General features: G+C 40.5%; 1 long non-coding RNA gene across 1 annotated transcript; it reads left to right on the forward strand.

The window, feature by feature from the left end:
• The first annotated feature begins 507 nt into the window (after window positions 1-507).
• LOC105378544 (uncharacterized) lies at window positions 508-9,692 on the forward strand. Its single transcript, XR_946438.2, has 3 exons — window positions 508-615; window positions 2,007-2,172; window positions 8,120-9,692. It is a non-coding gene; the product is annotated as an uncharacterized LOC105378544 (long non-coding RNA).
• The last annotated feature ends 1,952 nt before the right edge of the window (window positions 9,693-11,644 follow it).

An 11,644-nucleotide genomic window follows, 5' to 3' on the forward strand; every position in this document is an offset into this window, starting at 1 on the left:
AATACTTATACATATAAATGATCATATTATGCACATATTTCTGCATCTTGCTTTTAAAACTCAACAACACGGATATCCCTCCAAAACCAGTGTAACTTTAATTTATTTTAAAGTGCTGCTTAATATTTTATAATGTGGATGTACCACAAGTTTCTCAGTCATTCTGCTACTAACAGGGGATATTTAATTTCCTTAAATTTTTTTTCCTAAACACTGCACAAATAAACACCCTTTTATATATGTCTTTATGTCCTGCTTTTATTTTGGTAGGTTAGATTCACAGAATTGGGTGATACATGCATGTTCAATTTTGATCAATGTTTCCAGGTAGAATTTTTAAAGGACTGTAACAATTTACAATGTATATATATTCTTTTATGCTCCTCCCTAAAAATGCCAGGTATGAATATGGAGTTTTTTAAACTTGTTTCTAGTAAGCTGCCTGTAAAGTGATTCATTTGTTCAGTAAGAGAAGCTTACTGAAAATCTTCTGCCTACCAGGCACTGTTGCTGGCACTGAGGATGTGACAGTGAGCCAAGCTGGTCAAGTCTCCACACTGGCGGAGCTCACATCCCAGGAGGGAGTCAGAAGATAAACAAACACATAAATATTTGGTAAGTCAGAGGGGACATGAAGAAAAGGGAATAGGGAATGAGAGGTATGGAGCAAGCAGTGCTATTTAAGGTAGGGTGCTCAGGAAAGATGTCTCAGAGGTGACATTTGAGCAGAGACCTGGAGCAAGTGTGGGAAGGTGTCACGGGGAGGAGGCTATGAGGCTGGTACAGGTGTGGGGTGCAGGAGGAACAGGAAGAGGGCTAGTGCGGCGGGAGGGAAACTTCCGGCAGTGCAGAGGCAGAGGCAGTACCACTGCTGCCCAGTGGGTGGCACACTGCCAGGGGTCCCACAGGCCCCAGGCACACCAGCTGAGAAGACGGAACTGGAGGGAAACTTCTTGTTCCCCTCCAGGGAACTGGAGTCAGAGGCAGTACCATGACTGCCCACTGGGGGCGCACTGCTTGGGGGTCGGGGGCGGGTGTCTCGCAGGCTCCACGTGTTCCAGCTGAGAAGACCGCTTCCTCCTCGGGCCAGGAAGAAGAATCCCTTTCTGCTCCAGTTTCCCTTCCGCGTCTCCAGTGCAAAACTGGCACCGAACTCTATGTTGGCTGCATGACAAATAATTGTTTCCAAAATTACGATTTGTCTGTTGACTCTATACAGAGCCCAATTTGTCTTCTAAAAGTTTGAAAACTGTATCTAGCCATGTATCTCTCTATTATTTTTAAATTTATAACTTCTAGGTTTCTAGTGGTGAAGGCCTCTTGAGCCCCTAGATGGTATGTGTAGACCCATGGGTTTTATGGAAATGTTTCGAGTTTTGGTTTTTTTGCTTTCACGTCTTTAGTCTATCTAGATCATATTTTTTAAGCAATGTGAGATAGAGATCCAATTCTCTTTTCTTTCAGGCAGCCATTGCACTGCCACTGTTTATTAAATAATCCATGTTTTTTCCACTGAGATGAATCTTTGTCATATATTATATTTTTGTATTTGTCAAGATCTATTTTTGAGTTCTCTCTTCGGTTCCACTGATCTGTTTGTCTATTCCTAGCTGATACCACAGTGACTTGATGGCAGGGCTTTATGCACGATCTGTTCTTTTGTAAGGCAAGTGTACTCACTGTTCTTTTCCATAACTTTCTCAGCTGTTCTGGGGGCATTTATTCTTCCATATAAGCTTTAATGTCATTCTATTCAACTAAAAAAAAGCTAATTGAGATTTTAATCAAAATTAGATTCCTTTTCTATATTAATTTGGGAGAATTGACATTTTATGATATTGTCTTCTAATCCAAGAAGAATATTTGTTCAGACCTCCTTTTAGATCATTCAGTAAGTCTTTGGTTTTCTTCTTTTAGATACTGCACTTTTTTGTTGAATTCATTTTTAAGTATCTGTGGCTTCTGTTACTATTGCAAATCAATAATTTTCCAGTTTCTTCTTCCAGGTGCTGTGTTAGTGTCCTGGCAGGAAACACATGGTGCACTCGAGTCGGGTACTGAGGAGAGTTTAAATATCAAGTATTGATTAAGATGTGGGCATGAATAAGGGAAGTCAACAAGGAGAAGAGAAGCACCCCCGGACGCCAACGCAGTGGGGCAAGGTTTTCCAAGGTAGGACCTGGAAAAAACGCTGTCACTGAGGCTATCAATGTAGTAGAGGACATCTGGCGAGGAGCTTAGCCTTTGGTAGAGGAGCCAGCCTTTGCCAATTCTCGGTCCAGCAGAAAGGAAGACACCCCACTGTCATCCTCCTCCTGCCCGTCACACTCCTGACAATGCTTCCCATAAGATGAACCCAGCTGTGAGCCTTGTATTAAGCCACGTTAGGTGTTAAAGCATCAATTCTAGTAACAAAAAACCCAAATCCCTTGGGGCTTCTCAGTATCCAATTGTATCATTTTTTAAAATAGGTAATTCTATCTCTTCTTTTCCAATGTTTATATCTATTATTTCATTTTCCTGTTGTATTAGTTTGCTAGGGTTGCTATAACAAAATATCACAAACCAAGTGGCTTAAACAACAGAAATTTATCATCTTACATTTCTGGGGCTGGAAGTCCAAGGTCCAGGTATCATCAGAGTTGGCTTCTTCTGAGGGCTCTGGGGAAACTTCTGTCCCACGCCTCTCTCCTAGGTTGTGGTGGTTTGCTGGCCATCCATCATCCCGGCAGAGAGCAAGGTGATACTTGGCTGGTAAAAGCATCACCCTGCTCTGTCTTCATGGTGTTCTTCCTGTGTGTGTTTTGTGTCTATTAGAAGGGGCCATTTGCATGTTTTCTTTGGAGAAATGTCTACTTACATCTTTGCTCATTTTTAAATTGGGTTCTTCTTATTATTGTTATTGAATTGTATGAGTTCCTTATGTATTTAGAATATTAATCCCTTATCAGACAGATGGTTTGCAAATATTTTCTCCAAATCTATAGGTTGCCTTTTCGTTTTGCTGATTGCTACTATGCTGTGCCAAAACTTTTTAGTTAGGTGTAGGTCCACTTGTTTATTCTTGCTTTTGTTGCCTGTGCTTTTGGTGTCATAGCCCAAAAATCATTGCCAAGATCCATGTCAAGGAGCTTTACCCTATATTTTCTTCTAGGAGTTTTAAGGTTTCAGGTTTTACCTTTAAATCTTTAATTCCTTTTGAGTTGATTTTTGGGTATGGTGCAATGCAAGGGTCGAATTTCACTATTTTGCATGTGGATACTCAGTTTTCCCAGAACTGTTTATTGAAGAACCAGTCCTCTCCCCATGGTGTGTTCTTGGCACCCTTGTCGAAGATCCGGTGACTGTATATGCATGGGTTTATTTCTGAGCTTTCTATTCTGTGTCATAGGTTTATAGACTGAAGTGTTCTCTTCATTATTGTCTAAGTAGTTTGCTATTCCCCTTATAATTTTCTGTTTGACCCAATGATTAGGTGGAATTGTGGTTCTTAATTAAGATTTTTGGTTGAATTATTTAATTATAATTTAAAATTTGTTGACATAATAATGTGGCCTTTAAGTATAAGCTTTTTTATTTCATTAAGATGTTTTAGTGTGACCAAGTGGGACTTGAGTTATTTTTGTCCATGATTCATGTACACAGGGGGGAAATGTGTACTCTCTATTTGAGATATGTAAAGCTCAATGTATGTCGGTGAAGTCAAGTTTATTGATGGTATTAGTGAATCCCTTTACATCCTTACCTTATACCTAGTAGATCTATCTCCTTTCATGTTGATATTTTTTAAATTAAATTTTACTTGCATTTTAACAGTTTCAGCTTAAGGTATTTAATTGTTACATTGTTGTACACACAGATTTATGACTATTACCTCTTCTACATAAATTTTGCATTTATCATTACACGATGTACCTCATTATTCCATTTAGCTCTATAAACCTAAAATTTCATTTTGTGACATTAATATTGCCATGCCAACTTTCTTTTTATATGCTTTTATCTGTTAGCTCTTTGATTACTCATATTTTCAACCTTTTCATAAAAGTTGTCTTTTATTTCTCATAAACGGCATAGAGCTGGGTTTTGATTTTTTTTTTTTTTTCGCTCTGTCATCCAGGCTGAAGTGCAGTGGCAGGATCTCGTCTCACTGCAAGCTCCACCTCCCAGGTTCACGCCATTTCCTGCCTCAGCCTCCGGAGCAGCTGGGACCACAGATGCCCACCACCATGCCCGGCCAATATTTTCTATTTTTTTTTAGTAGAAATGGGGTTTCATCTTGTTAGCCAGGATGGTCTCGATCTCCTGACCTTGTGATCCACCCGCCTCAGCCACCCAAAGTGCTGGGATTACAGGCGTGAGCCACCGCGCCCGGCCTGGGTTTTGCATTTTAACTTAATCTGATTCTCTGTCTTTTAATCCGTCATTCAACATTTTATATTTAGTGTAAAAACTGATATTCTTGATTCTGATTCTTCTGTATCCATGTTTATTTTTCATTTTTGTTTCCTCTTTTTCCTTTTTCTAATTTTTTTATTTAATGAAGTTGCTATTGCTTCATTTTCCCCTAGATAATGAGGAACTTCTACCAAACATTTCTATTCAATTAATAGTCATTGCCCTTTCCCCAGAACTGTTAATCAGAAACATATTAATATTTCTGAATTATTGTTTGAAATCAAGGTACCAAGACTATGTCCCTAACCAGGATACACTCTTTCCCCTCTTTTACTTTATCTCAGTAAGGTGAAATCATTTTAAAAATGTTCTTGGTTATTCTTGAAATTTTATTTTGTTAAAATTTGGGGTTGATTTATTAAGGGAAAAAATCAACAAACACAAAAACTAAAAAGGAAATTGGGATTGTGGTGAAAATTTCATTAAATAGGCTTTGAGGAGTAGTTGCATTTTTACAACATTGACTTTCCTGATCTGAAACATTATCTGTCTCTATCTATTCAGATATAATATAATAGCCTTCCGTAAAGCTTTGTCAGTACTTTTCATACCAAAGTTATGCATTTATCAAATTAATTCCCTAAATTTTGTACTTTTAATTGCTCTTTTGAATGGCATCTCTGTTTCCTTTATATTTTCTAGCTGGTTATTAATTTTATAAAGGAAAGCAATTGAATTTTGTGTATTTATCTTGTATCTATTTAGAAAATAGTCAGCATACTAAATTTTAAAATTGATTATAATATTCAGTTGATTCTTTTAGGTTTTCTGGATAGATAGTCATATAATCTGTTATTAATGATGATTTCCAACATTTCTATCTTTAACTTTTTTCTTGTCCTATTGTACTAGCTACACCTCCAGCATGGTATGCAATAATAGTATTTAGAGGAGGCATTCTTGTCTCATTCCTAACTTCAGTCCAAATATCTTTAGTGCAATACTATTGTATATTAATTTGTTGTATTCCAAGATATACTCTATATTATTTTAACAAAATTTTTGTTTTGTGGCTATTTTCTAAAAGTTGTTCCTTTTTTGAAAAGCCAGAATAACCCTGAAATTTCATAAAATGTCTTTTTTTTTTTTTTTTTTGAGACAGAGTCTTGCTCTGTCACCCAGGCTGGAGTGCAATGGCGTGATCTTGGCTCACTGTGGCCTACACCTCCTGGGCTCAAGCGATTCTCCTGCCTCAGCCTCCCAAGTAGCTGGAATTACAGACGCCCGCCACCACACCCAGCTAAGTTTTGTATTTTTAGTAGAGACAGGGTTTCACCATGTTGGCCAGGCTGGTCTCAAACTCCTGACCTCAGGTGATCTGCCCGCCTCGGCCTCCCAAAGTGCTGGGATTCCAGGCGTGAGCCACTGCGCCCGGCTGGAAATTTCGTAGAAAGTCTTGATGTCCCTCGAGATGATCACTTAAGATTTTCTTCCTTAATCTTTTGATTTAATAATTTGCATTAATGAGGTTCCTAAGCGTAAATGATCTTTGCATTCTTAACCTATCTTATATCCTGTTGTAACTGAATTGCTAATATTTTATTTTGGATGTTTGCATTTTTGTTCATGAGTGACAGTGACCTACAGCTTTCCTATCTTAAGCTGCATTTGTCTGATTTCAATATTAGGGATATGTTAGTCATTTAAAATGTGTCTGGGCCAGGCGTGGTGGCTCATGCTTGTAATCTGAGCACTTTGGGAGTCTGAGGCAGGAGGGTCACTTGAGCCCAGGAGTTTGAACCAGCCTGCACAACATAGAGAGACCCCATCTCTACAAAAAATATACATAAATTAGCCAGACATGGTGGAATATGCCTGTAGTTCCAGCTACTTGAGAGGCTGAAGTGGGAGGATCACTTGAGCCTGGGAGGTTGAGGCTGCAGTGAGCTATGATCATGCCACTGTTGCCACTGCCAAAAAAAAAATAACATAAAATAAAATGTGTCTGAAAGAAATTTTGATTGTGTTTTTTGGAAAAAATAAATACATCTTCATTCTTTTGAAAAGTGTCAGTCCTGCTAATAAGTTCTCCTTGAAAGGAAAGGATTTTGTGCCAACAGGTCTGGGAAACGTATTCCTCTGTTAGAGCTTCACAATACAGCATGTACAAAGGCTCTGAAAATTTCTGCAGGGAAGAGGCCTACTTTTTCAACCCAGCTTTGTTTAACTTAGCTTTTCCCAAACTAATTGGAGCATAGAACACTTCTTTTTTATTTTTTGTAGTTTATCTATTAAAACATCCTATGGGATATCTTTAAAAAGATATCAGTTTTGGAAATGCTCCTTATTTTATTTTATTTTATTTTTTTGAGATGGAGTCTTGCTCTGTCACCCAAGCTGGAGTGCAATGGTGCAATCTCGGCTCACTGCAACCTCCACCTCCCAGGTTCAAGCAATTCTCCTGCCTCAGCCTCCCGAGTAGCTGGGATTGCAGGCGTGTGCCACCACATCCAGACAATTTTTATATTTTTGGTAGAGATGGGGTTTTACCATGTTGGCCAGGCTGGTCTTGAACTCCTGACCTCAGGTGATCCACTAGCCTCGGCCTCTCAAAGTGCTGGGATTACAGGTGTGAGCCACCACGCCCGGCCAGAAATACTTTTTAAATGCAAAATTGTTTCTTGCAAATTATTTACAATAGCAAAGAGTAGGAAATGACCTTAACAAAAAGGGAATGTTTAGTTAAATTATAACAGAATGGACCATTATGCAGTCATAAGCTGATGTGTACAAATATTTCATAACGGCATGAAAATGCACCTATTTTAATGTTAAGTGAAAAACTTAGATAAAAATATTCTATGTAATCACACCCACATTAAAACCAAACAAACAACAGAGAAAAATAATTAGAAATAAATTCACCAAGGTATCAAAATTATTTTGGATGGTTTTTTTCTTTAATTTTCTTCTTTATACATTTTTTTCAGCATACATTGCTTTCATATTTTGGGGAGAATTGGTTTTGTTTGTATTTTAGGGGGATGGAGTCTCACTCTGTCACCCAGGCTGGAGTGCAGTGGTGCGATCTTGGCTCTCTACAATTTCCGCCTCCTGGGTTCAAGCCATTCTCGTGCCTCAGCCTCCCAAGTAGCTGGGATCACAGGTGTGTGCCACCATGCCTGGCAAATTTTTGTATTTTTTAGTAGAGATGGGATTTCACCATGTTGGCCTGGCTGGTCTTGACCTCCTGACCTCAAGTGCAGGTGTGAGAATTGTAATGCCAAAATAATAGAAACCTCACATTTCCACCCAAAGGGACCATGGGGGTTGGAGTTTGTTGAAGAGGTAGGAATGGCAGGAGAAAGCGGGGGTGCTGGGGCCTCTAGCTAATGTTCTTTCCTGCCTGGTCCTGCGGAAGGGCCCCTGCTGTGGATTGCAGTGTGAGGGGCCTCTCCTACAGCCCAGCACCAAGTTCTTAGCAGCACAGGCTGCTGCAAGACATATGTTACCCCCTCCATCCTATTCCCTTCCTAGTCCACCCTCTCACTCTCTAGGCATGACTCCTTCCCATTTGACCATAGGCTTCTCCAAGGACGAGGATTGTGTCTGACGGACCTCCGAGTCCCTCTGGCCATTAGCACAGGACTTTATGCATGACACATGTCAACAACTGTTTGTTCATACCCTAAAATAACGTAAGTTATGTCATTCTCTTTAGATCCTCCTGAATCAACCCTGCTCAGCATAGAGGAGCTGGGGAAGCAGCGAGATCCCATTGCTCCAGGAAGGACAACAAGCCCCAGAGGGACAGTCAGCACTCTAGGTCACTGTGGCCACTCACATTCTCCTCCTGTACATCCTGCTTCTCTATTCTTGAACCTTGATCCCCCTCACCCTCAAAGTAGGGGTTTTCTATTCTTCATAATGGGATTTTAATTGGTTACATATGACTATTACCCAATTCCAGAGTAACAATGATATTTCGCTTATTGGACAATCATCCAGGCACATCTTTTCTCATAACAGGGGCAGAGAATTGGTATATGTAATGACAGCTCCAACTCTTGACATATTTATTAATGGTATCCTGGTTCTAACTAATTGCACAAAAATTTACACGATTCTTGACCTCTTCAACACAGAGAACATTTTGTTATGCAATTTTTGAAGGCTAAAAGTTCAGAATCTCCTGTAAGGGCTGAATCCACACCAAACAAGGTCAAGAGCTCATTTATCAAGGAGTAATCTCTTTCCTACCTCCACATTTCACATGTGCAATGCAGAATCTTTCTGGCCACTTCATTACTTTCTATTATTTTTATGTTATCTGTCAAATAAGACAAAGCCTAGCTTTCCTAGTATATTAACCTATTTTGATGAGCAATAACTTCTTAATACTGCGAATGGTGTGATCATTATCACTTTTATGGATGGAGCACTTCCTGTGTGCCAGGCACCAGTTATGTGCTGCACTCACCTCACCGCACTTTATCCTCATTACCCGCCAGCCCCCAACCCTGGGTGGTGGGTTCTGCTGTTACAGATGAGCAAACCAAGGCTCAGGGAGGTTACGTCACTGCACAAGGTGACACACCCAGTGCATCTGTGGCAGTCCAGGATTCGGACGCAGGTCTAACTTTCTCCAAAGTCATCTCATTTGTAACTGCTACATGGAAAAATTGGAATTGGCCTATGAAATAGACAATGCTCATTCAGTACAACGAATATAGAAAGAAAACTCCAATCTGTGAACCCCCAGGAAGCACTTAATAAGCACCAGGCACTGTTGTAAGCACTTGTCAAATAGGAACTCGTTACGATCTCAGAATGACCCTATGAGGTAGGAACTGTGATGATTTCCAGTTTACAGGTGAAGCAGTTACAGCACCAATAGGTTAGATAAGTTGCCCAAGGCCATGGCCCTGTCAGCAGCAGGGCAGAGTTTGGAGCCGAGGAAGTCCAGCCCTAGATCTAGGGAAGATGCCGACCCTCTATCCCACCTGAGAACAGCAGAAGCTTGGGACTCTCTCCTGGCTGTCGGTCATCTCCATTAAAACCAACAAATCCAACGTTTCCTCCACCATTCTCAGCATGGAGAGGTTTGGGGTTCTCTTTGGAAATCAGCAGGCAATGTTTGTTCTGGATCAGTCAGGCCAGCCCAGATTTCTTTCAGTTGAATACATATCTTCAACCCCCTTTGGGGAAAAAAAAGCAGTGGAGAAAATCTGGTTTCTGAGTCAGTGTTTGTGAAATCTGCATGTTCCCTTGGTATAAATTGGGCTTTGGACTGACTTTTTGGTTTAATCAAATGTCTACTTCCTGGGCTGAGTGTGTGTGCGTGCGCTTGCGCGCGTGTGCATGCGTGTGTGTGTGTGTGTGTGTGTGTGTTGCATAAAAAGACCTTCCTTCAGATTTTCCTGAATCCAGCAAATAATATGATGGTGGAAATGAGAAAGTTTTGTATTTCACGTCCTCACATTCTGGGCCACCAGCTGCCTTAGAACCACACTGGTGACACTGGTGATGTACTATTTTCCTTAGAGATTTTTAGCATCAGAAGAGTGCCTCAAGTTCACATTTTCCAAAAGCTTCCATCCTCCTCATAACCATTATTTGGCTTCAAATTACCTCAGTCAATAAAATTACTATCGTTGGTTCGCACCTTTCAGAAAATGTGTGTGCATTAAACACTTTGGCAATATTTATTTATTCTGCCATCTGTCCCACTATCTACACATTCTCAACAGTCTGGCCTAGAAAGCACCCAAAATCACCTGAGCATCGTAAAATTAGTTCATGGCTGTCAGAGAAACGCATGGAGAACACAGCTGCTGCCCTGCCGCCTGATTTAATGAGGTTCCGAAAGTATGTGGACAAGGATGCTTTCCCTTAGTTACCATGGAAACAGGACAGGGTGCTTAGAGCAGGTGTCAGCAGCTTCGAAATCAAGATGAATCAGCTGATGGCTCGTCATCTGGGGGAGGTGCTGACCGAGCCCCGGTGGCTCCAGAACTCACACAACCGCGCTGTCCTAATCCTTTCTTCCGAGGAACTGGAGAACAGAGATCCAAACTCCTTCCAGACTTTCTTCTGAACATATCGTGTTGCCATATAAACTCTGAGCCTAGAAGGACTTATACATTAAGGATTTCAAAATTAGAAATGCGGAGTACTTCTGTTCTTTCAGATCCTAATTAATTGGTGATCTGTTGTTTTACCAAAAAAGAAAGAAACAATACGGGATCCACCCCCGTACCACCATCCCCTCCTCCAACCTGGGTTTATCTGATTTTATTCAAAGCCAAACTTGCCTCCGGGAGAAACTTTTTGTTGTAATGAACAGAATGGGATCGCTGATGTTTCTGGTGAAACTCCCCATTTGGAGAGTCAGGGGCTTTTTACGCAAACCTGGTTTTCATCCTAAATTATGGTGTCAAAAGTGAAACAGCATAATTTATAAACTTGAATGTTAGACCTATGAGTGACTTCTCAGACTCTGCATCACTTGGAAAGAATAGGAAACTTTAAAAAAATTTTTTTGAGACAAGGTCTGGCTCTGTCACCCAGGCTGGAGTGCTGTGATGCGATCATAGCTCACTGCAGCCTTGACCTCCCAGGCTCCAGTGATCCTCCCACCTCAGCCTTCTGAGTAGCTGGGCTGGGACCACAGGCGCGTGCCATAACACCTGGCTAATTTTTGTGTATTTGGTAGAGATGGGGTTTCGCCATGTTGCCCAGGCTGGTCTCGAACTACTGAGCTTGAGCAATCCACCTACCTCGGCCTCCCAGTGTTGGGATTACAGGTGTGAGTCACCGTGCCTGGCCAGAAAACTTTGATATATAAAAAAAAAGCTCTCAACGGTTGATTTTACTAATGATTCCATGATATGGAATCTTTTCAGGTGAAAAGGTAAGAACCGAGAGTGGGGCTAACTGAAATATTACTGGAGAAATAAGAAAAAGTTCTATTCTTCAGAAAGTTCCAATTTGACACCAGGAACTTAAAGCAAAATGATCTTTGGTAAATATAGATCTCTCCAACTTTTGCAAAGCAAAAGAATCTTTAACTTTCTGGCTTCATCTTCTTAAGCTTTTTCAGGGTCAAACAGAATTCATTAGCCAATTAGCTCAGAGAAAATAAGGTGGCATATATGCTATTTCATGTAGAAAAAGAGCAAAGTGTTCAATTTTTCTGCTTTTCAGCTGAACTGACAGATATTCTTTGTTCTCTGGGAATGTGATG

Source organism: Homo sapiens, chromosome 10 (genome assembly GCF_000001405.40).
Source record: "Homo sapiens chromosome 10, GRCh38.p14 Primary Assembly".
In the NCBI taxonomy this organism is placed as follows: Eukaryota; Metazoa; Chordata; class Mammalia; order Primates; family Hominidae; genus Homo; species Homo sapiens.